Genomic DNA, 25,983 nt, shown 5'->3' with positions numbered 1-25,983 from the left:
GGGATTACAGGCTCGTGCCACCATGCCCAGCTAATTTTTTAATTTTTAGTAGAGAGGGAGTTTCACTATGTTGGCCAGGCTGGTCTCAAACTCCTAACCTCAGATGATCCGCCAGCCTCAGCCTCCGAAAGTGCTGGGATTACAGGTGAGAGCCACTGCACCCGGCCACAAGCACTCTACTTCTTCGAGCCCTCAAGCCACAACTTTCAGTTTAGGATCACTCACCAGAATTTGTTTAGAAGTTGAGAAGCATCACAAAAAAGACTTCGATATACACAATCATAAAAAAGAATAATTCAAAGAAAAGCAATATTAATCATTTTATAGTAATAATTTTACATCTATTCCATTTTTTTAAATAGGGGGAAGAATCAGCTTCACACAAAATGCTAAACTGAGTTTCAATTCTAAAATCAGCTTACTCTTCGTGGAAATTTGTCTTTTTCTGAGATTAGATGAGATTGAGCACATTCCGGGTGGTATGGCTGTAGACTGTCTTTTTCTAATGAACAGAAAAAATATACCTTTAATATTGCTTTACTTAAAAAAAAGATGACCACACAACACACAGTGAGACTAAAAGTCCTTGTTCCTTTATAGTTCTGTGTAGTTTCAAAGAATTTTAATGTGTGAGTTAAATAAGTAGGTTGATTTTTATAGCACAGCTGTTAATGTACTATTACTGCCATCATTTAACATAACCACCAAAACATAAAAATCACACCAATCAGGCCGGGCGCGGTGGCTCACAACTGTAATCCCAGTACTTTGGGAGGCCGAGGCGGGCGGATCACGAAGTCAGGAGATCAAGACCATCCTGGCTAACACGGTGAAACCCCGTCTCTACTAAAAAAAATATAAAAAATTAGCTGGGCGTGGTGGTGGGCACCTGTAGTCCCAAGCTACTCTGGAGAATTGCTTGAACCTGGGAGGCGGAGCTTGTAGTGAGCCGAGATCGCGCCACTGCACTCCAGCCTGGGCAACAGAGCGAGACTCTGTCTCAAAAAATATATATATATCACACCGATCGCCCTAAAGTGTTTCTTCCCAGAATATAATTAAGCCCACAAGCAAGCAGATTTACCATGGTTGCTTCCCTTTGCTCTCTTGTTCAATCTAAGTTTTGCACCGCTTCATGCTCATCTCACTAGAGAGTGAACAAGGAAAATAAATGCCTCTGCCATTTGGCAAGCAATTTGGTTACTATCCCTCATCCATAACTGGCTGAATCCTAACTCTGCCTTAGCACCAATCATTACCTAAGCCTTAAAATAACTTCCCTCTTATAATCTAGTCCCTGCCTATCACCCTCTTCAAGATCTGGCTCAATCCTCCTGCTTAATCCCACAGACTCTGATGACTTCTATATAATTTCACACCTCTTTCATAAAAGGTACTCAGCTTGTATCATTACAGTATCTTCCCCTAACACTTAAGCACTTTAAAAAGACTCTTTCCAAAGTAAATTCTATATTCCCAACAGAACATCGGGGTTGAATACTTTTGAAGTCATTTAGTTCCACGTACCTGATAGATGAATCTTGTCTACAATATCTCTTACAAGTATCTGTCTAATTTATATTTAAATACCACCAGTGATAGGAAAATAGTTCTTGAACAGGACATTCCATGTGTAAAACAGTCTAATTACTAGGAAATTCATCCTTAAGTTCTTACTATATAATCTATAACACAAATAACATACTAGCCTGCATTGGTTACTATTACTTACAACAGGTTTATCGTCCCTACTAGATTATAATGTCTTTTTTGAGCATTTCATATTAGTTCACTTTTTTATTACAGTAAAATTCCTATAAGGTCATTGTTCATTATTTAAAATCTTCAAAAAACTTGTAAAGAACAAAACAAAAGTGATCCTAAAATCTAGAAATAACTAGTGTTATTACTAGAATTTCTAGTAATTCCCTCTAGTATTTTTATTGTTATATAAAAAGCATAATACAGCATATACAACATTATATACATTTAACATTTCATTGTGAGCATTTTCCCACATTTTGTGAAGATGTTTTAATGGTTGTATAACTTACAATCCCATGAATGCACAGTAATTTATTTAGCTATTTTCCTATTGTTGAACGTTACTAGCTTCCCACTTCTTCCCATTCCCACTAAAACACCTGATATGATGTGATAAATCATTCACTGAATCACTCAGCAACTTACTAGTGGTAGATTTCTAAAATTGGAATTATGGGTGTGAAAAACATTTTTAAAGCTATTGATAATGTAGTAGTTGTACTCTATTTGCTTATTACAGGTCAAGTGACTTCTGTGTTCCATGGCCACAGCTGACTAGCAAAGGTAATCAATGACCAAAGCTTAGCCCATTGGAGTCTCTCCAGGACATCTGTAGTTAGAACTATGTGTTTCTACTGGGCACTGGAAAGGGTATAATCTGAGATTAGAGGTGGCCACGTTTTCTGCCATTCACAGAGGGATCCTAAGAGGCCAGTGCAAACAGCGTGAGGCACACAGGCAGAGTAGTGGGGCTGACAGGTCACACACCTAGAGGAATGGAGATGTAGCTGTCCAGGGTCCAGCTCCTTGAAAGGCCTGGATGAATTTATTGCCCCTGGGTTCCATGAGACACCTTTGTGTTGTTTCTATACATCCTCTTTTCTCTTAAATTACAGGGGGATTCTATTTCTTGCAACCATGTGTTCTCTGATTAAGATAAAACCTATTTACCAAATTGTTTTCCAAAAAACTCCATCAGTTTAGAGTGTCATCTGAAGTATACAAGGGTGCCAATCCAAAATATAAGCATTTGGAAAATTTCTGCTGATATAAGCATGAATATTTTGTGTATTTCTGTGATTGCTAGTTGTACAGAATTTTTTTCATTTATTAGTCAATGGTGTCTTTTTCCTTTTTGAACCATTTATGTTCTTTGACAATGACTAACCACCTGAGGACTTCTTAAAGACATTTCTCATTAATTCTCTTTTCATCTCTTTAGAGTCTTATTTCTGTACCCTCGCTGCTACTGTGGTAGTTACGTTTCCTATATTATTATTTTGCCTAGATTAATGGAATGGCTAACTCAAAAAAAAAAAAAAAAAAGAGAATAAAAGTTAAGAACATAGAATTGAAGCCAGAACAGATCGAGGTATTTTTCCTAGTTCATCATTTAATGTTGGTGAACTTGGAAATCCTATGTACTATACCTCCTAACATTTGTATTTTTTCAATGCGGATAAATCTCTTATCTCAAATATTAGTTAAAGATTAGATGGATGATGAATATACTTTGCAGTCTCTGACATATAGAAAACACCAAAAGTTGGTATATATTGCAATTAGAGTAGTTGCATCTTAACTTGCTTCAAAGTGAACTATATACACTTTGCAGATACAGAAAACAGCTGTGTGTGATAGTGTGTGCGCACGCACCCAAACACAGGTGCAATAGTTTAAGTTGTTCAGGCAATCTGACCCAATGCTCATGTGCTCTGTAGTGGGAATAAGACAGACAGAAATCATGAACCTGCTGCTCCTGCAATTCCTCTTGGTTCACATGAGTCACTTGGTGACTCTCAAAGTGTGAGGTCTCAGCACACTGAGCTGAATTCTAGGACTCTATTTCATATAGCATGACCTCTAAATGCAAGCAAAGTAATTATTATATCTCATGCTCAACTCAAGAAGCAGCAATCTCTTCTAACGCTAAAAAAACACACATGCAGTGTTGGACTTAACAAGAAGAGAGTTGATCTACAAAGCTATGCCTTCCTAAGGGACTTTTCAAGAGCTTTTTTGACTTCATCCAAGTTTTGCTTTCTGTGCTGGCTTTAGAATCTAAATATCAAGAATAAGATATGACAACTATATTGTGGTGGTGATAATAAAAGAAAAAGTCTACTTGCTGTGGATGAAAAAGATAAAGAAGAGAATTCCAGCTGCCTTGGAGATTGTTCCCTCCCATATTTCCATCATTTAAACTGCCAGTTATCTTTTCAGACTATAAAACTGAAGATCTATTCCCAAATGTTTTAAAACTATTCAAACATTCCTCATTCTTTACAGGATACAGTAAAAACTTCTGTGCAAGGCAATATCTCCACTTGCATATCCTGCCCTGCCTTAGCCCAAAGACTGCACTTCCTGGCCCATCATATCTCCTTGCTTTAGCATCCTCAGATCAGAATTCCCAGCTGCACCTCACGTGCACAGCCGAGGAACCCCTCCCCTCTGTACCCTTCATCCCTCCTCTGCTATGTCAATCACACTGAATGCAAATGATACTCTTAGCTGAGCACGGTGTGAGTGCAGAGCATGTCCTGGTACTGCTCTTCACCCAGAATCTAGCAAGGGCAGAGTGAACACCAAGAAAGGATTTGTTGAATACATGAATCTGAGGGCTAATAGTCCTACCAAGCTTTCACTACTAAGAGTAGCAAATATTTCAACATTCAGGGATTATTACTGATGCCCCTAAGAGAACATCACATTAATCCCCATCATTGTCAGCACAACTTGAATTTTTGAACACAACTTCCTTAATACCCAGGATAACCCCACAAGTTCTAACAAATGGGGAAGATGAGGTTTAAGGAAGTTAAGTGACTGGCCTAGAGACATCCAGGTAGCTAGTATGAGAGACTAGGCTAGCCCCAGGTCTGCTCAACTTTAAAACTGCTGCTCTTAACCACTGGTAAATGCGTTCCCATGCTCTCCCAATAAACTGTGACTTTGAAAAAGAACACACATTCGGGATTAAGTCCTGAAAGAGAAGTAACGATAACATGCAATGTGGCTTTGTAGCACTCACTTAACATGATTTTTATACGATACTGACGATTGGCTTTCCTCTATTTCTACCTCCATAAATTGAGGATAACAGCAACACACTTTCACTGCACCAGATTACACGTGGCTGGCTCCTTATCATTTGTGTCTCAGCTTATATGGGACTGCCCTAGATAAACATCTGCTGGTTACCCAATCTAAAGTTTGCCAACCCAAATGTCCAACAATGATAGACTGGATTAAGAAAATGTGGCACATATACACCATGGAATACTATGCAGCCATAAAAAATGACAAGTTCATGTCCTTTGTAGGGACATGGATGAAATTGGAAATCATCATTCTCAGTAAACTATCGCAAGGACAAAAAACCAAACACCGCATGTTCTCACTCATAGATGGGAATTGAACAATGAGAACACATGGACACAGGAAGGGGAACATCACACTCTGGGGACTGTTGTGGGGTGGGGGGAGGGGGGAGGGATAGCTTTAGGAGATATACCTAATGCTAAATGACGAGTTAATGGGTGCAGCACACCAGCATGACACATGTATACATATGTAACTAACCTGCACGTTGTGCACATGTGCCCTAAAACTTAAAGTATAATAATAAAAAATAAATAAAAATAAAGTTTGCCACCCTCAACTCCCTCTTTAACATAGCCCATTTTGTCATCACATACCTGCCACTATTTGAAATTATGTTGTTTACTTATCTCTTTACTTTTGTATTCTGTCTCTTCCCACTACTAGGTAAATTTCACTAACATCTTGCCCATTGTGCTCAATGCCATATCCTCCACATCGCAATAGGAATGGCATAGAGTAAATGTGCAAGAAATATCTGATGAATGAATGCAACGTTAACAATGAAGACAGTGAATGTCTCCTTAGGGGGTGGGGTGGTCCTGGGCAAGGAGGTGCCTGTGGGTTGGTGCAGGGAGCAGAAGAAAGGGAGATTAAGTATGCAAGTGCGGGTCGTATACCTGTGGAAAGGCCCACAGGAAAGTTGTACTAACCCACAACAGGAATGCTAGATGCTGCCCAGGTGACAGATATGTCCTAGAGTGGACCATAGTCGTTCCTCAGGCTCCTCCCTCCCCCACCTGCTTTGGGATCCACAGTGACTAGGCAGCACTCTGATCATTTTACTTCACATATAGATAGGGCTAGAAGGGAGAATGCCTGCAAGCTGAGAAACATATGCATCCAATTGGCTTGGCAGTTAATGTTTTTTAAAAGCTTGGTATTTATAATGACAAACTGTTTCTTATGACTTTGATTATGGAGAAAATCATCTTTCAAAGGTGTATTCCACCTAGGCATACTGAAAATTTCATCTGTGGGATTTTAGGGTAACACCCCAATGTTGTGCTCCTCTTAAAGACAACAGTGTAGGATGTTAAGCTGATCTTGCCCTACGTGTTTGCATTCAACATGCAATGCCCAACATTAGCTGTTTCTGTAACTCACAGGTTTCCTGACCTTGGAAAAGCTGCTTAATCTTTATGGGCCTCAGGTTCTTCTTTAAAATGAGGGCATTAAAAAGCAGACAATCCTGTTTAGATTGGGACCTTAAATTATGTGAAAATAAACATCTAGGGATGTATAACAGGAATCTAAAAATATACAAGAGATTCAGTCTGTTTGCCTTATGCGAACATACTACGTCTCACAATTTCATTAATCTGAGTTCAGGACGAGTAAACTGGTAAAAATAAAAAAAACACAGGATTTAGGCAGACAAGGAAGGAAGGAACTATTACTTACACAGGAAGTCAGTAAATTCAACAGGTTTGTTACAAAAGAACAATTAGCCGTACAGAGCCGTGGTTATTTGTAAAACGTGGAACTTTTCTAAGAATAAGGTATGCTAGGCGCCCTCATGTAACTCCATCAAGCTATTTCTGGGGTTAAAGTGCAAGCAACTGAGCAAGAAAAGGTTAAGTCCATACAGAAATGGTTCCAACAATCTACATCAACCTGCATAGACCCACTCATTGCCAATTTATGAAAAGTTTGCCTTTTTATTTTACAGAAACTCAAGAGCAGTTATAAAAACAGAAGACGATGACAACTCAGAAGAAACAGCTGCCGATACTCAAATCAATTGGCACACATATAGAGAAAAAGCCTGCCAAATGAAACCAGCTTTGAGCTATAGCTTTTGTGTAAGTTCACATCGTTCACACGCATGCTTTCCAGGCTCCTCATCCTGTAAATGTATATCTAACACAGCAATGCAAAATTGTGCTGATGCATACAATTAACTCATTCCAAGCATTTCTTGCACCCATGGTAATATGGCATTGTGGGAGAAAGCAAGAGGGCAATTTTCAGTACATCTATTTCTCAAAATTGTGAAAAATGCGAACAGATTCAACCCCAAGGACATGTGAACATAGCAGCATTAGCAATGACAGCATCTGCAGGTGCTGTTCCACTTCAGATCCCTAGTATTCCATCATCTCAGACAGCTCAAGGGCCAAATGGACCACAATGGCCAAAAATACTTAACTTCAAAAAATGGATTATAAATCTGTACCTCAAAAGCAAAGAAACTGAAGGACTCAATTTAGGCTAGGCAGAATGAATGTGTCCACAAAACATAGTATGAAAAACTAAGAAATTTAATCGCCATTAATTAGGTCTAGAGTCTACATGTTTGAATTTGTTATGTCAGGCAACATTCCGGCATAATGTGTCAAAGGAAGGAGCAGAAAGACTTGACTGCGTATGCTGAACTAATGCTGGTTGATTTGCTGCCTACTCAATGTTCATGGATTTGAATCACTCTAAGCACTTTGTTCAAAGTTTCATATTGTCATCTACATAATCCTTTTACATGAAATAACCAAATAAGGTTAGTTTTACATATTTACAAGCATAAATACAAGCTTGTCAGTAAGGTCTTAAGTTGTATTGAAGAATTGAAAAGCATCAAGCCCTCAGACAGTTGGAAAAGTTGGAAGAAACCACAGACACCTCAGACATCTAGCACCTCTCTTCACCCCCACAAGTAAGGATGGTGAGAATCAGAAAGCATTGCTTCATAGTGGACACGCGAATTCAGTACATTCTAAATCCTAAATTCCCTACTATAAGAAGCTGTGTGCATGGTGGCAGGTCTCACTGCTGACAGTGTTGTGCATGGAAGTGGACATCTCACCAGGTCCTTCATGTGCAGGACAGTCTTATGACCATGCACTCCTGTCCCGTAGGTACCCTAGTTGGGATCACAGATGCTCCAGGGACTGTCCCTGCTGCCCACTCTTCACCTATTTCTGTGAAGGGTTACCCTCAAGAACCACTAAGTTTCTTGTTAGTGGTGGATTGGACAAAGCTTTTTAAAAAACATTTTGAAAAACCTGTGGTTTTATTACTTATTACTCTGGAAATTTGGTCAATGCAACACGCTTACACTTGAAAATATATACATGCCTGCCAATACTCAAAATGCTGGGTCTAACATTAACATCCAATTAAAAACACAATCTTAAAACTTTAACTCAATAACAAAAAGAAAAGAGTAAGTAAATTCACCAACACTAGGAACTTGAGAAGTGTACGGATTTATCTAGCCTACCCCAATGCTCTGGGTAACTACATCCCAAGTACACGGATGCCACACACTTCAGACCCATTCACTCACAGCCTTTTTCTGGATTCTAAGATAATGGTAATTAAAGCAACATGAACACATAATCATACATGAGGCTTTCAAATTACCTATTTTCCTCCCAAACCTTATATTGCTTATGAAAGACTGACATTTATGGGTGAAAAAAATTATCCCAATACTATTACATTGGCTTGAAAATTTTTAGATTATGCTAAGGAAATTTTCAGGCAGACATATATCTACTATTATTAAAAGATGCTTCTTAGAGCTAGTATGTAGCTAAACTAATTTTGTACCTTAAGAAAAAAACTTTTAAAAAGTAATAATAATGATGTACAAACACCAGTAAGCACAAAAGAGGGTAAGATTTTAAAGTCAACTACAATTAACACCAAGAACTCACAACTGTCTGGCCTAAAAACCTGTTCTTGAAGTAAGAACATGAGTCCTTGACTAATATGAGGTTATCTAATTTTACATTATCATTTTAAAAAGAAAATGAAACAATTAGGGCCTATTAGCAATAACCTTTTCTAACTCTCTGGGCAGCCACTGGCACAAATGTCCAAGATGACAGCAGCACAGCACAATCAGAAAGACTGAACCTGCATGAGCCAAGGCTTTCCTTGCAACCTTTCCTCTATCAAGTAAAAATGGCAGACCCAGTTAGACTCACAGAGCACTGGCCCTATGGTTTCAATGATAAAAAAACAAAAAAAACTTACACAAAAGAAGTATCCAGACTATAGACAGCACTCTTTTTGTTTTTTCACATTTATATTTTAGGGCACAGTTTTGGGGAAGGGGATACAATGCTGCCTTACAAAGGACATAGAAGTCCCTTGTTTGAGCTACCAACCTCTTAGCCACACAGAAAAATGTCAGTCATCCATTTGTTAGGACCCAAATCTCCTTCTACTGCTCACAATATGCAACACACATTTTAAGGGGCTGTTGAAATAGAAAAACAAAGGAAGCCCTTGAAATAGAAGCTGATCTTCCTTGTCTTGCCCTTCCTTTACCACGGTGCCTGCATGCATGCCTTAAAGCACTGCCACATTGTTTCCACATGCTCAGGCCCTTGAAACTTGTGCCAAAGCATTGCAAAATAAAACTGCATAAACATCACATTTCAAAACATCAGCTAGTAATGGTGGGTCAGTCATGTGGGCCAGAATAATCATTAATTAAATCATAACCTACAAACGTCCCTGACCCGAGTTATTTTTTCAAATAATAAGGACAGGCATTGAACACGTTTGGGGCCATGGGCGTATTTCAGAAAGAATACCAGTGTAATTCATTCTGAAAAACCATTAAAAATGACTGTCCTTTTGCCACTTTCAGGAGTCATAAAACAATTTCACAAGCAGAAAACAGTTTAAAAGATTAAATTTTTTTTCATTTTCCAAAATCAACATGTAATTGCATAGGCATTATTGAACTGCATAAAATCAATACAAGAGAAGTGTATGACGCTGGAGGTTTCTTTAAAAAGAGCTTAGAGCTCACTTTCCTTGGACCACATGGAGATAATGCCCCCACACAAACGTACTACAAACTGGATACATATTACTAGGGTTACTTACCTTATAAAAGCTGAATTTATTCCTCTTGGCCAGAAGTCACAAATGGTTGAAGTAAAACTCCCTTCATTTGTTCTTCCAGCGAGCCAAAGCAAGCCTCCCATTAACCCGGTCCATTGCAGATAATCTCACCCAGCACAGGCTCCCCTGCTTTCCCCACTTCCCAGCCCAGCAAGGATAATCACATTCCGGTGGGGAGTGAACAGATGGTGGATTCCATGGTAACCAGCCCTCCTAAGGCGATTGGTAGAAGTGTGTGACTACTGCTTATTGGGTAACAATCGCTGTCTTTGTGCTCCAGCCTTGCAAATCCTAAAGGAAGGAACATATATAGCCACTCACATGCGCAGGGCTTGCCTAGCAGGTGTTTGGCTATTTAAACAAGCCAGTGCAGCCCAACTAAAAGCTTTCCAGCAAATTTACCCTTGGTGGTACAAACTCCTGACATTTCAGATAGCTAACTCTGCTCATTCAGGGAGAAAGGTCACAAGAGGCTTGACTTGACAAACAGAAAATAAAACCTCAAAGTTAACTTGAAAACTAAAGATAAAGCATTCTAGAAATCTAAGCTTCATCAGCAAGTTGTTTTATGATTTGCAATCCACATCAGAACTGAAACTGCTTTTATAAGGATTTTTTAAAACAAATATAATACTCAAATTTGGAAAAAATGTTAGTTTGAAAATAAAGTTTTCAAAAATCAATTGTGTTATAAAATAATAATTTCTGGGCAAACATACATTCATTTTTACCGTGTTAATTGAACTTTGTGGGGAGAGGCGGTGCTGGATTTAAAATTTTCATCTAGAGTCTTACCCAGTTACAGGATTAAAATATCTTAATTTTATACTATGTACTGAGTTTAATCTGTTTCACCATGTGAAGGTTAAATACTGATTCTGCAGGAACAGTTGCCCACACCCTGGTCCTCATGAAGGAATCAGAGGTTAAGTCCTTGGAAGATAAAATTGGCTGAAAACCAAATATACCACATAAAAACCAACTATTAGAGGTAAACTATAAATCTAGAAAATATAAACTATAGGCACTCAAAATGTCCATTATTGACACCAGCCTGAGCAACACAGTGAGACCCTATCTCCACAGAAAATTTTTTTAAAAATTAGCCAGGTGTGGTGGTGCGCACCTGTAGTCCCAGCTACACAGAAGGCTGAAGTGGGAGGATTGCTTGGGCCCAGGAGGCCAAGGCTGTAGTAAGCCATGACTGCATCACTGTATTTCAGCCTGGGCTGACTTCCCTGAGCTCTCTAGGCAGAGTCTGACATTTTTGTTCTCTCCTCTACACTTTCTCAATAAGTTGGACACTGATGGTGTTTACCACAGGGCACAGTTATTTGTACACATCTCTCCTTCAGACTGTGAGCACCTCAAGACCAGGGACAGTGCCACTGTGAACCCTGTGTCAACAGCAAGCCAAGGTCCTTGAACATAGTGTGAATTTAGTAAATCTGATGAATGACTAAAGACTGTTTTAAAATTCTAGTGCAAATTTAGAAGTACCTAAGAATCCAGAATTAGAAGAATGGTGATGCAAATATTAATGTATACACAACTGACACACTATCATGCAGTTATTAAAATATGGTCATGGCCAGGCACAGTGGGTCACGCCTGTAATCCCAGCACTTTGGGAGGCTGAGGCAGGTGGATCACAAGGTCAGGATCTCGAAACCATCCTGGCTAACACGGTGAAATCCCGTCTCTACTAAAAATACAAAAATTAGCCGGGCATGGTGGCGGGCGCCTGTAGTCCCAGCTACTAGGGAGGCTGAGGCAGGAGAATCTCTTGAACCTGGGAGGCGGAGGTTGCAATGAGCCAAGATTGCGCCACTGCACTCCAGCCTGGGTAACAGAGTGAGACTTCGTCTCAAAATAAAATAAAATAAAATAAAATAAAATAAAATAAAATAAAATAAAATAAAATAAAAATAAAATAAAATAAGGTCAGAAAGACTATGTGGCAAAGGGGAAATGTTTCTATTAACAAGTACTGTTTACTGGTCCCTAGTATGTGCTAGACACTATAATAAACACTTTACAAATATTTCATATAAACCTCACAGGGCCTATGAAGTAGGTATTATTATCTTCATTTTTTAGGTATAGAGCTGAGATTCAGAACTTATGCTCTTTGCCCTTGGTCTCACCGTTGGAACGAGAACCTCATTTGTCTGAGACCAAAGCTTGGATCTAAGTCATTGCGCTACACCACCTCCCAGAAGTGGGAGGAAAAACAGAATACAAAACTGAATACCCACTACGAATAAACAGTATGCATTTGCAATGATATACAAGATTTTTTTGTTTTTTTCTTGGAGATAGGGTCTCACTTTGTCACCCATGCTCACGATCTTGGCTCACTGCAGCCTCAACCTTTCAGGCTCAAGCAATCCTCCTGCCTCAGCCCCTCAAGTAGTTGGGACTACAGGCATGTGCCACCACACCCAGCTAATTTTTTTGTATTTTTAGTACAGACGGAGTTTCGCCATGCTGGCAGAGGTGGTCTCGAACTCCTGAGCTCAAGTGATCCACCTGCCTCAGCCTCCCAAAATGTTGGGATTACAGGCATGAGCCACCTTGCCCGGCAGAGAAGAGATTCTCAGGAACAAAAGGCCAGGCTTACCTAGGCTTCAGAATTTTCAGAGTACCTGTGAGGAAGAAATATTGGACTTATTTTCTTTCTCCAGTTTCCAAATTATAACTTTATAATCTTCTAAAAATATATTTACTCCTCTTATACATATTTTTTAATGTTCACTCCACCATGTTCTTGGGAAGATCTACAAACAAGTGAGACAATAAAAAAACTAAAAAGAATTGGCTCACAGTTTTTAGAGAATTGACTCCATGGGAAAAAATGACTCAGACAAGAAAAATAAAGGCAGATCTATGAAAGGTGAGTAAGGAATAGTAATGTCCTCTGGAGCTCCAAGTTCACCTCCAAGTGTTCTGATATTGTCTTCATTATAGTATCCCCTCAAACCACACTGCCCGGAATCTAATTATAGGGCCTGAAACCTAAGTGGTAGGGCATGTGACCAACAGTCAACAATCCCCATAAAGGTTCTTAAGATAAAACCGCTTTGGAAGCAGGAGCCTGATAATTTATCTTCCTCAAATACTGCGCAGGCGGCAACTTTGCCTTGAATATCTGCTGTTGCAGCCATTGTGCCAGCTAGGCAGAGATGGAATAACCTTGGGAATGTTGTTCCATTTCCCTTCGCAGCTGAATATGCCTAATTCCATTTGCCGTTACTCCTCCTTTCTCTTTCCTTTTGTAAGAGGTTTTACCCAGGCAGTCAGAGGTTCCCAAACTTTTCAAATCTGAGCATCTCTGTAACTTCTGCACAGTGCCCCGGGGCAGGAGCAATTCCTTAGAGTTCCATTGATTAAGTGGTTTGGTACAAAAAAACTAATAACTGTTGGGTGTGGTGGCTCACGCCTGTAATCCCAGCACTTTGGGAGGCCAAGGCAGGCGGATCACGAGGTCAGGAGTTCGAGACCAGCCTGACCAACATGGTGAAACCCTGTCTCTACTAAAAATACAAAAATTAGCTGGGCATGGTGGTGTGCGCCTGTGGTCCAAGTATTTGGGAGGCTGAAGTGGGAGAATCGCTTGAACCCAGGAGGCAGTGGTTGCAGTAAGCCAAGATCGCATCACTGCACTCCAGCCTGGGCGACAGAGACTCTGTCTCAAACAAACAAACAAACAAACAAACAAAAAACCAATAACTACCTTTGACCCAGCAATTTAGCACCATTTGAGAATATAACAAATAATTATTTCAAGAAAAAATAGTATTTTTATTCTATTCTTAAATCACTCCCACTACTTACTAATGGGATGTGGGTGTACCCTGCCAACCTCTCATACCATAGGATCCTACTAAATATCACAAACCTCATTTCCTCTCCCACTTTCATTTTCACCAGCTTGTTATCACAGTACCCACCAAACCCTCGACTTTGCAAAAATATGCCTCTATCAATAGAAATATACTGCAATCAAATATTTTTTAAAAGGGAACTGTCTAGAGGTAGGAGTTTGCATAGTATTTGATAGATGTTGCCATTTTTCCCTTGAAATTTTTAAATACTCTGCAGACAGCACCCCTGTGAGTTGGCAGTGATACCCAAAGCGCCTAGGCACATATTTTGGGAGTTATGTGTTTAAGCCCTTAGCCTCTACAAAGTCCAACGACAACTCCCTAATTATAAATTCAGAAACCTAGACTCTAGTTCCTGTTTAGCCAGCCCTATGACACAGGCAAGCCATTTACTCTGTCTGGTCCTGTGCTCTTCAGTCACAAAAGGAGGATGCTGGCTTAGAGCATCTCCAAAGGTCTCTTCAGCTCTAAAATTATGAGAATAAACGTTAGAGGAGAGTCTCACTGAGTCGAGAAGAAGAAAAAAGGCTGAAGTAGCAAAGACAAGAAACATTTATTTTCCAGAAGGAAACAGCATATTAAAATTTAAAATAACATACATCTGCGTACTACCCTTACGTGTGGCATGACTGAAAGGCTCGAGCAGGAGGTATTGTTCAAGTACCAGTTGAAATGGCAATTGTACCTGCACAACGGCACACAATTTAGGATGTACTTTTAGTAAAAATGCCAGGAGCTCTGCTACTGGTTTTACTTGTATTTCCATGTTCTCTTTCCGTGCTTTCCGAAACTCCTTCTTGACAAATGGTTTGTATTATAAATTGACCAGATATTGTTAGCGGTGCCTGTGACTATGAAACAGACTCAAATTACCTCTCCTAATCGGGGATCAAACATATCAGTGAACCCAAAAAGCCTAAACAGCAGAGCTAACCATTGAAACCACAAAATACAGTATCTATAAAGAGGTGGTATCTCCTTAGATATTTTCTATATATTACCAATAATTTTGCATTTTTGGTTAATATTCTATGAAACTTTTTGTTTTAATTTAATGGGGTTTTTATAATTCGTTTCATGAAAGTGATTTAGAGCAAAAATGTATTTGCAGGGTACAGAGTACTTTATAAGGAAGATAAAATGCATTGAAATATTAATAAATTGAACTTTTCTGCCCAGTTTGCAAGGGGTTAAGGTTAAGAATCTAAAGCCTAATTTGATGGAAACTTTTTTAGTGGCCCATCATTCCTCTCATGTGGTTAGCATTTCAGAGAAGTACTTGTTGTTCCAGGACTTGCCCAAGTATACACTGCCAAAAAAACAACCAACATTGACTAGGAAAGTCTATGTGAGGAGGTCTTATATTTTTAGCCCTTTTCTATTCAAGTCCAACCATCAAAAAACTCACCCAGATCTACCAATGCCCCAGGGATATTTTCAATTAAAATTTGAAAGATAATTGTGTCTTAGTCAAATAAGAATAATGAGATTTAGTTATTCACATCATTAGATTGTTTGTTACTGTTTTCATTACAGTAATATTCCCTATCCTTCCAAATCCTTAATATCGATTCTAAAACAAAGGTGGGAGGAAATTACACAAGCACCTAGGCCCTGCCTTCCACACTCTTAATTCTTATCCATATTTTTTTTCAAAAAGTGATTCATAGATAATTGGAATCTAGATATTTTAATTCTTCTTTCCTTAAGAAAATTTCTGAAATATATGAAAGTGAAGACTCTACAAGGACATATGTAGGACATATGTATATTTATGTTTATGTATTAATTACATTAACAAATCTAAAATACGTGTGGAGTGTAAAATAGGAAAAGGGCTAATAATAAACAATGTTCTATAAATGAGACTTCTATAATATGCAAAGTTCCATTCTAAACTCCACAGACAATAAAAGCATATGCTACCCCTTTTTCTTGATGAGTTTTTGATATGTATAAGAAATAAAGACTTTTAACTCTTGTTGTAGGGGGTTGGGGAGAGGAGCTAACAAGATAAAATAGATGTATAGTACCAGGTAAACAGCAAAGATACATCACACAGACATTCTGCAAAAGCTAATAAATTATCAACATTATGAACCTTCTCTTCGTATTTTTGGTCTGAGATCAGGCCAGAATAAAAACTATGATAATTCAAGTTTTGTGCTGATAAAACCCGATGCTGAATGGTTAATCCTTGCTGCTCAAAAAATATCCTAAAGGACCAAAGCATGCAAACAACTATAGCTTTAGGTCAAAGTTAAACAAAAACTGTTTCACTCAAGTTCTACAGGGTTGCATTTTTGAAGAGACAAAGCAAATTCAGCAAAAATGTAATGATCAGTTGAATGTTTATTGTTGATACCAGGGATTTATTTATGACCTCTCATCTGATCTTTTAAAATCAATCCTAACTTTACTTTTCTACCCCAAGCCCAAACCCCAGAAAGAATAAAGTATTAAAAAGAGAGGGTGGCCAAGGTTTGTGGGCAAGGGTCCCTTGAGACTAGGACTGGGGTGTATCTAATTATGACATTTGAAGGTAACTGAATTTGAGGTTTTGTGTGCAGCAAGGCTGTGTATGCACGGTAGGTGAAGCATGTGTGCACACATGCACGCACACAAATAGATATGCAGCAGTGATATGCAAGGCGGGTGAGATCAATGTGTGTGTGCAGGAGGATATGGAAGGAGGTAGTGGAGGGGATTCTGAAAAGCTTCTTTTTTTTTTTTTTTTTGAAACAGAGTCTCTCTCTGTGGCCCAGGCTGGAGTGCAGTGGTGCGATCTCGGCTCACTGCAAGCTCTGCCTCCCGGGCTCACAACATTCTCCTGCCTCAGCCTCCCAAGTAGCTGGGACTACAGGTGCCCGCCACCACGCCTGGCTAATTTTCTGTATTTTTTAGTAGAGACGGGTTTCGCTGTGTTAGCCAGGATGGTCTCGATCTCCTGACCTCGTGATCTGCCCGCCTCAGCCTCCCAAAGTGCTGGGATTACAGGCGTGAGCCACCGTGCCCAGCCCTGAAAAGCAATCTGCCCTGCAAGTTTTACCTCATAAATGCCCTGGGTTCTTTTCTAAGATAACCAAAGCATAACCAGTGAAATATGGGGCGAATCATGATTAGTTAATGCTGTGAATATAGGTTCACAAACTCTGGGCTAGGTAGAGTATGTGACAAAACAACTTGTTAGCAGGGTGATTTCTAAGCCACAATCTCTGAGCTTTGAGGCCTTCCTCTAAGAAATAAACAGGCATAATATTTGGTACCATCCTCTCAGGAAGATCAATGAGATCATGCAGGTGAAACCTCTTTGAATATCTGGAAACTATGCAGCTGTAAGAAGTATTAAACATGTTTAAAAATGGGGGTGGGGGCAACTGTTAATTCTGTGAAGACAGAATGACAAACAATTGACTTCCTGACATGAAAAAACAAGAACACAGAAGCCTCTTACAAAAAAACCTCTTGGCTCCACTCACATTACTGTCAAGCTGTCTATGCTCATTCCTTTCTTGCTCTTTCATGCTTCTCAAAAGGGTGGGAGGTCTAGTCACTTCTCACCTCTTATTCACTCCTCAGCCACATCTGTCAGACCAAGCACTCAACTGGCACTGCTCCCAGTAAGGCCAGCAGTGACATCTCAGCTCCAAACCCACAGGTTGGGTTCAGTTCTTGCATCCTGGGCCCTCTTGGGTGCCAACCATGCCCTCTTTCTTGACCTTTCCTCCCTGGCCTTCTCACAACCAACTCTCCTGATTCTCTAGGACTCTGAACACTTAAGCAACTCTGTGTCCTGCTGTCTCCTCCATCACATCCAATCAATCAGGTAAGATCAATAAATGTTCACTGAACAGATGTTCATAAAAACAGGTATCACCAGTAAATGTGTTTAGGTATTACTGCACAGCAATTCACTTTTAAAATATAAAATTATCAGTTCAGACATGGAATCCCACTGAATGGCTAGAAGCTCTTAATCTCTGTAAATAAGAAAGCAAACTAAATAATATTTTACTGATTATACGGCTGGAGGTGGGTAAAAGACCTCACCATCCCTCATAAATTGGTCCATTGAACAGCTGTGTAGGTATTTTAACAGTTCTTTGCGAAATCCCAGCACCTCTGGGAGGCCAAGGAGGGAGAAATGCAAGACCAGAGTTCAAGACTAGCCTGGACAACATAGCGAGATCTCATCTCTACAAAAATAAAATAAAATAAAATTAAAAAGTTAGCTGGGTGTGGTGGCACACACCTGTAGTCCTAGCTACTCGCAAGGTTGAGGCAGGAGGATTGCCTGAGCACAGGAATTTGAAGCTGCATTGATCACACCACTGCACTCCAGCCTGGGCAACATAGCTAGATCAACTCTTAGAAAACACTTCCCTGACGAAGTTTGACTACAAAAGCTCATTCCTGCCTCAGACCCTTTACATCTGCAGTTCCCTCTACCTAAGACATTTTCTTCCAGATCTTCCTCTTGTTTCTACAGTGCACTTCATTCAAATCTGCTGAACGCCACTTCCTCAGGTGAGTGTTTCCTTCCCCACCACCCTATCGAAAATAGGAGTACTATTCCTACCTCTGTCACTTTCTATCTATTCCAATGGCTTGTTTGTTGTTTAAGGTATCACTGCCCAACATTATATTGAACGTTTCTTTTTCACTCACTTTAATTTCTGGCTCCTACCTTAAAAGGTAAAATCCATAAGGACAGGGGGCTTTGTCTTGTTTACCAAGAAATCTCCAGTGTCTGGCATGCAGTAGGTGCTCATTAAATCTTTGCTGAAAGAACAAATAAAAAACGGCTAGGCATGAAGATAACGCTAAGCCTGGGCTACACCACTGTTGGTTATTCAGGAAGTAACCGTGCACCTGGGTCACTGACACATCTGAGCTAATGGAGTGGAGGTGGGTGGCAAGTGTCTGAAGCAGGTCAAGCAGCAAGAATGCTTTCTAGTCCTGATGAGCTGCCAGGCAGTAAGCCTGTGTCTCAGGACTAATGACCCTGGCTCATCAGATTACCACACCTTCTCCAGGACAACAGAGTAGGGCTCAAAGGAAAGTGGCGTGACAGCCTGGGAAACAATGAGGACCCTGCAGAGGTCACTGACTTTCTCCATGCTTTCTGAAGAAACTTGAAAGAGAAGTCCATTCTTAGCAAAACTGGAAATCAGGTGAAACATTTAAAAAACTAAGGAAAAGAAAACAAAACAAAAACCCTTTTTTCTGTATCTCCCTATTTCTCTGCTATATTGCCAGGTAGCTGGACGGTGACTGCCCAGTGACTTTGATGCTAGATTTCCACCTTCCTGGCTGTGACCCAGACATCTCGTGACCTAAATGGCAGTCATCTAAATCCCAACCCTATGCAATGACCTCAGACCAGAGTTTTCACCTTGAAAACTGAAAAAGAGTCAGCAGGCCTGGGTGTCCATAATAGCTGTCCAGTCCATAAGCATCCAACTACATTCTCTTAGAGGCTGTTCCACCTTCACTGTCTGTTCCTGGAAAGCAAGGCTGTCCAAGGTGCGGGCAGCACCAGCTTTTCACCTTTACTAAAGCTAGAAGAAATACTGATTCCCATGCTTGCTGAGATTGCTTTTTAAAAAACTCTATGAACTAGGAATTAAGGTTTTATACCAAAAAAAAATAAGAGAAATAACCAAAAATATAACCAACGTAGCTTATTTCCCATCATCTAGAGATGACTCCTGATGATATCTTTTCCCATCATTTTGGTATACATTCATATACCTCTACACATGAATATATCACAAATATATTATGTTTATAAAGCAGCATATTGTACATCCTGCTTTAACACTTTTATAATAAACTATAGCAATTTCAAATACACACTGTTGAACATATTTGTAAGTATACTTAAAATATGAGTTGCAACTAACATCAATTGTTTTGATATAAAGAAGAAATTAAAATCCACTATAAAACCACTATGTAGACATAATCACAATCAGCATTTTGGTGCATTTCTGAAAGTTATTGTGTGACACATATCAGAATCAGGGTTTTTCTGAATATTGTACTCTGTAACAAATTTTATGAAATGATTTTGACAGAAGAGTCTGCTTCATATTTCTCAATCATGCCAGGTAGTTGGGGTTAAAAGGGGACTTTGATGTGTAATTAAGCCACTTAATTAACTTTTATTTCATAGAGGTTGGCACTGTTTATGAACCTAATTTCTGTAACAGCCCAATAAATGTCAATACATTCATTTCAAGTTTCTTTAAATAAACACTCTGCCCAAGAAGGCTTGCCACCTGATTCAAAGAAGACCTCTCAGCTGATGTACAGTTTCCTCCTACAGGTTAAGCTAATTCATTGTCCAGAGTCACTATCTGACTTTCTAAAAAGGCTTTTAATAGTCTCCAAAATGCTGTTCACTTTAGAAAAATTTCAACCATCAGCTGAATACTGATTCATGCTGGATAAAACTCATGAATGTTAACAAGCAATTGGGATGCTATAATTTGGTTCTTTTCTTTTAAAAATGGACAACACAGTATTTGAAGGAACTATAATGCCAGGGAAAAGGCAAAGGCATGCAGAGACGTAATCCAGTCTACCCTTCCACTGCCCCCAGAGCAAAATAACAAATTGCCATTGCTAGAAAGAGGATCAGTGTTATTTTTGGTTTAACTTATAAAACAGGATTTAAGATTTTCAGTTAAAGTAGCATACCTAGGAACATTATAGCCCACAATGTTCATGATGGGCTATAATGATGTATATGACGTATATGTACCAAGGAAACCCTGAGGCATTCTTATTCAGATACAGTTTCACAAACATAAGAAATGAAACCTTTCCCATATCAGCAGGAATATACATTTTCTGAAATGCATTAGAGAGAAGGACAAAAGTTCCTTACCAACGAAAAAAGGTTAAAAACAAGTATTAGGTGTTTCAAGGGAAGGGACTTTCTGTACCTGGTACCATGTCATACAATCAATTCTATTCAACAAACATTTACCAAGAATGTTATACCACACACAGATAATTAAAGGAGGCTTGTAGACCTCAGAAGCCTAAGACAATGATTGTCAAAGTGTGGTTCCTGGGCTGGGAACACCACAGCACTATTTACTAGAAGATCTTAAATTGCAAATTCATTTTCTTTAGTACATGTAGGGCTATTTAACTTTTCTCTCTCTACTTAGAGTTTAATTGTTTCCTTAAGGTGGAAGCTTACATCTTCATAATTTGTTTCTAAATATTCCTATAATGCTTATATACCTTTCCAATTTTATAGTTTTTTGTTTTTTTTTTTTTTTTTTAACTGGCAGAAGGTATTCCAACATCCATTACTCTTCATACTGGCCAAAACCAAAAGTCATTGAAAAGAGTGAGTAAAACAAAACAAAACAAATCAGGCAGGGCAAAAGGTCTCCACACTGGTGAACTGTATTGTAGACTGAATGAAAAGACAGCCTAGCGCACATACAAAACATATCGGATACTGCAGTGGAAGAACTGTGTTTTGAATGGATGACTCCTCTGATACTTGCTTTCAATCCTGTGAGAGGAACTATAATTCAAACTTTCATGATTTTTAGTAGAAAGAAATGTATGGGAAAAGTGCAGCTAGGAAGATTATACCCAGAAACAACACACATACTGCTCCCATCCAGCAATGTGAAGCCATTTCCTTTTCTTTCCTTGCAGGAATATATACATCCCAGCTGCTGTCATCCCATTAAAAAAGACTAATAAGTCTAGGCGCGGTGGCTCATGCCTGTAATCCCAGCACTTTGGGAGGCCGAGGTGGGTGGATCACAAGGTCAGGAGTTCAAGACCAGCCTGGCCAATATGGTGAAACCCTGTCTTTGCTAAAAATACAAAAATTAGCCGGGCATGGTGGCAGGCACCTGCAGTCCCAGCTACTCAGGAGGCTGAGGCAGGATATAATCGCTTGAACCTGGGAGGTGGAGGTTGCAGTGAGCCGAGATCCAAGCACTGCACTCCAGTCTGGGTAACAGAGCAAGACTATCTCAAAAAAAAAAAAAAAAAGACTGATAAAAATCTCTTTTCCTACAATATATATTTTCTATTTTATCTCACTATGCTAGCTGAGATAAAATAGAAAACACAGTCCATGCTTGAGACAATTTAAGAAAAACTACAAAAAGCATCTGAGATAGTTTAGATTCTGGAAATGTCAAATGTCAGAATTTTTAGTCAAAACTGTAGAATTACAAAGTTGCCACTAAAATATAGTGGGCAAAGGATAGTCACTCCAAATGGGACAAAAAAAGAATCTTCACTCCTACTTCTCATCATACATGCAGATCATTTCCAGATGAATCATAGACCTAAATGTGAAAGGCAAAATAGTAAAGCTTCTGGAAATACTATAGGAAAATATCTTTATGACCTTCAGGTAGGCGAAATTTTTTAAACAGGATACAGAGACCTACCTGTAAAGGAAAAGACTGAAACTGGACATCACTGTTCAAAGGATATCAAGTATAAAAAAGAAAGCCTTAGAGGAGAAAAACATGTTTGGCTCATAATTCTGACAATACAGAATATATGAAGAACTCAGACAACTCAACAAGACAAAAAAAGTTTTTAATAGGCCAAAGTCTTGATTTTTTTAATATATAAATAAAATAACCTCATTGAGCTTACTTTCTCCACACGAAAAATAGGGTCATATCACCTATCTTACAAGATTCTTCTCAGGATCAGGAATAATGTGTATATAACACAAACCACCGTGTCTAATAGGTGCTCAATAAGCACCTGTTATACAAGGAGTTCGCAGATACAGTATCACTCAGAATCAATCATCAACCCCTTTTATACATAAACTTTCCTCTTGTAAAATCAAGATAATTATAAAATCAAGATAATGTTCCACCTGACCTGCCAAATAAGTCTGTAGCATTTCTGCTATGGAAAGTCATAGGAGGTAAAAGTACTCATTGAATATACGTGAACTTCCAAAGAAAAGTACACAGCTTGATCATTCCCATTTCAATATTAAAAGAGTTGCCAATTTAGTCATCAGTGAAACTATACAAGAACTGGGTCATGACATTTTATTATTCAGCTACTTTATGAACTCCATATGCAACTGCAGCTGTCAGCTCTAATACTAGAGGATCAAATGAGTTGGAAAGATTAAACAAATGGGCAGGAGAGATGCCAAGAAGGGTATAAACTCCTGGACAGGAGTCCAGTTGGTTCAGTTACAAAGTTGATCCTTAGAAGACTTATGTGCACTACAGGCACGCACTGAAGAGAAGCATAGGCTGAGATGCATGAAATACAAAAAGAGAAGAGGCTGAGATGCATGAAATACAAAGAAAAGAAAACGAAGGCAAATACAGGTGTAAAAAAAACCAGTACTACTGTGGTTTTCAGACTAATTCTGAGTCTACTTTTAGTCTTACAAATAAATATATTCACTACTTATCATAGAGAATAAAATATAGGTTCTGTAAGAAATCTCACTTTTACTTTTTTGAGACAGAGTCTCGCCCTGTCACCCAGGCGGAAGTGCAATGGTGCGATCTCGGCTCACTGCAACCTCCACCTCCCGGGTTCAAGCGATTCTCCTGCCTCAGCCTCCCGAGTAGCTGGGACTACAGGCATGCGCCACCACGCCCAGCTAATTTTTGTATTTTTAGTAGAGACGGGGTTTCACCATGTTGGCCAGGCTGGTCTCGAACTCCTGACCTCATGATCCGCCCACCTTGGCCTCCTAAAGTGCTAGGATTACAGGCGTGAGCCACCGTGCCCAGCCAACTTATTTTTTAACATTAACATATATCTGGGATTTAATAAAAATCAGATAATGTATTTTTAAACAAAAAAAATCAGGTTGTTGCCTATATCACACCATCTAAGCTAACAGGGGGAACACAAATAATGGGTCAATAAAAAAAGAAATCCCCTGAGATCTTGAAGTCAAATTCAAAAAAAAAAATCCCACAAGTTTTCTAATCTAAAATTACTTGAAGATAAGTCTTCAAACTTCCAAATTCTGACCGTATAATCATATTACCCTAGCTATTTCTCTTCTATTATTATCTTTATGACTGTAAGTTTTAAATAGAAGGCACACTTAAGAATTTATAAGTAACTCAAAGTACTCTAAACTCAGTTCTATTCATTCCACAAGAAAGGTCAGTACACTATCTTGGTGCAAGTCTGTGACACAGAAACTTTTTACAATGTCACAATGTTAAAAAACAAAAAGCTTTTTCTCTGTCTTTTTTTTTTTTTTCCTGTGGCTGAATTATTCGGGAAAATCTCAGGCCAATTGATAACCTAATAAAACAAAGAAAAACTAGCCAAAAGCTTTGTGAATTTGTGTTTTTCCAGTTACCAACATTTTCACAGCCCATGCTTGATTTATCTCCTATGCATGGATCTAGTTTTCATTCATACAAGACTTGGAACATAGAAGAACCTGCCTTAGTTGAAGTCCTCTATTAGTTTTCTCAATGGTCCAGCTATCTGAATAAGTTCTATGGCTTCCATTCCACTTTGTCTCTCTGAAAAAAGCAATGGAATCCACATTTTTAAAATGGCTAATGCGGGTGTGGTGGAACTTGCCCATAGTCCCAGCTATCGGGAGGCTGAGGCGGGAGGACTGCTTGAGCCCAGGAGTTCAAGTCCAACCTGGGCAACACAGTGAGAAAATCTTGTTTCTATAAATAAATAATATAAATTGGCTGGGCATGGTGGCTCACGCCTGTAATCCCAGCATTTTGGGAGGCAAAGGCGGGTGGATCACTTGAGGTCCGGAGTTCAAGACCAGCCTGGCCAACATGGCAAAACCTCGTCTCTACTAAAAACACAAAAATTAGCCAGGTGTGGTGACATGCACCTGTAATTCTTGGGAGGTTGAGGCACGACAATCACTGAAATCCAGGAGGCAGAGGTTGCAGTGAGCCGAGATCACACCACTATACTCCAGCTTGGGCAACAAGCTGAGTGAGACTCTGTCTCTTAAAAAATGATAATAATAATAACAAATAATAACAATATAAATTTTAAAATTGCAAGCACATCGCTGCCTGTCACATATAAGTAAAAGTGTAAAAAGGGTAATATTCATAAATTTAAACAAAGATATGCCCAACACATTTGTTTAAAATCCTAATTCAATGTTTGTGCTTACAAATCTAAGGTCAAGCTATTATTGTTATCTTAAAATCAAGAATACAACTACAATGAGACCCACCCCACCAAAGGCACCTTGCAAGACAGTCTTACAAATTCATGTTCTTCTCACGATTATTTATAAAACAGAATTTAGAAAAATTTTAAATATCTAATAATAGTGGATGTGTTAATTAAGGTACCTGTAACAGAATAGTGTAGAGCAACTGAAATGGATATTTCCTGAGAATTTTTAGTAGCCTGAAATAATTTAATGATACATGGTGGGGGTCAGAGGGAGAAGTATAATTCAAAATCCATAAACAGTATAGCCTCAGTTTCACAAAACAATAGCTACAAAGAGGAAAAACACCTCAAAATGTTACAGTAGCTTATACTTGGATGTTTATTTTTTTCTCCTTCCTACTGAACAAAAATATTGGTTTAAAATTTAAAATGTTTCTCTGAACAAAAACATCAACCTAAAATGATTTTTCAGTTAAATATAAAAGACTACAAGATCACTTAAGCCACAATGATAGAAGTACCTAGTCAAGTCAACTATACTTCAGATCCCAATAAATCAGATAATGTTATTTCAAGAAATCCTTAAACCTGAGAATTACCAATGTACCTTGCTCATGTTTTAGAAGTAGGGGGAATTTTTATCCCCAAATAATTGATGACCAAGAAAATATTAGGTGCACAAATAAGTTTTAAGAAACTGGCTAAAGTGTAAATCTTAAATATTAGAAATAGAAAGAAGACAAGTGAAAAAAGTAGAAGGAAAGAGGTTATAATAAAAAAGACTGAGATGACAAGGGTCAACAGTGGTTGCACTTACTCACTTCCACTACTCTCAGGAAACACTCTGTGCTATGAACTCACAGGGAGAAATGCCATTCCCTCAAGTAATTGTTCCTGGATCATGAAGATAAGAAAAAGC

General features: G+C 38.9%; 1 protein-coding gene across 15 annotated transcripts in view; it reads right to left on the bottom strand.

Annotated features, from left to right (window-relative positions):
• Positions 1-25,983, bottom strand: part of FGD4 (FYVE, RhoGEF and PH domain containing 4) — a 246,493-nt gene that overhangs the window by 133,719 nt on the left and 86,791 nt on the right. For 7 of the 15 annotated variants that reach the window (NR_168884.1, NM_001304484.2, NM_001384127.1 and 4 more), the window contains exon 1: positions 9,994-10,169. The exons of 5 other annotated variants lie outside the window; for them this stretch is intronic. Coding sequence is in view for 2 of the 10 variants with exons in the window: in XM_047428292.1 (XP_047284248.1) it covers positions 423-502; positions 9,994-10,094 (181 nt within the window). In the remaining 8 variants the exon portion in view is untranslated. Of the gene's footprint in view, positions 1-422; positions 503-9,993; positions 10,290-25,983 lie in introns of those variants that run through there. 3 more of the 15 variants (XM_047428292.1, XM_047428291.1, NM_139241.3) reach the window with 3 other exon arrangements.

The sequence above is a fragment of the Homo sapiens genome, chromosome 12, assembly GCF_000001405.40.
Source record: "Homo sapiens chromosome 12, GRCh38.p14 Primary Assembly".
Taxonomy (NCBI): Eukaryota; Metazoa; Chordata; class Mammalia; order Primates; family Hominidae; genus Homo; species Homo sapiens.
The sequence above is the reverse complement of the archived record's forward strand: the minus strand, read 5'-3'. Positions and strand labels throughout refer to the sequence as shown.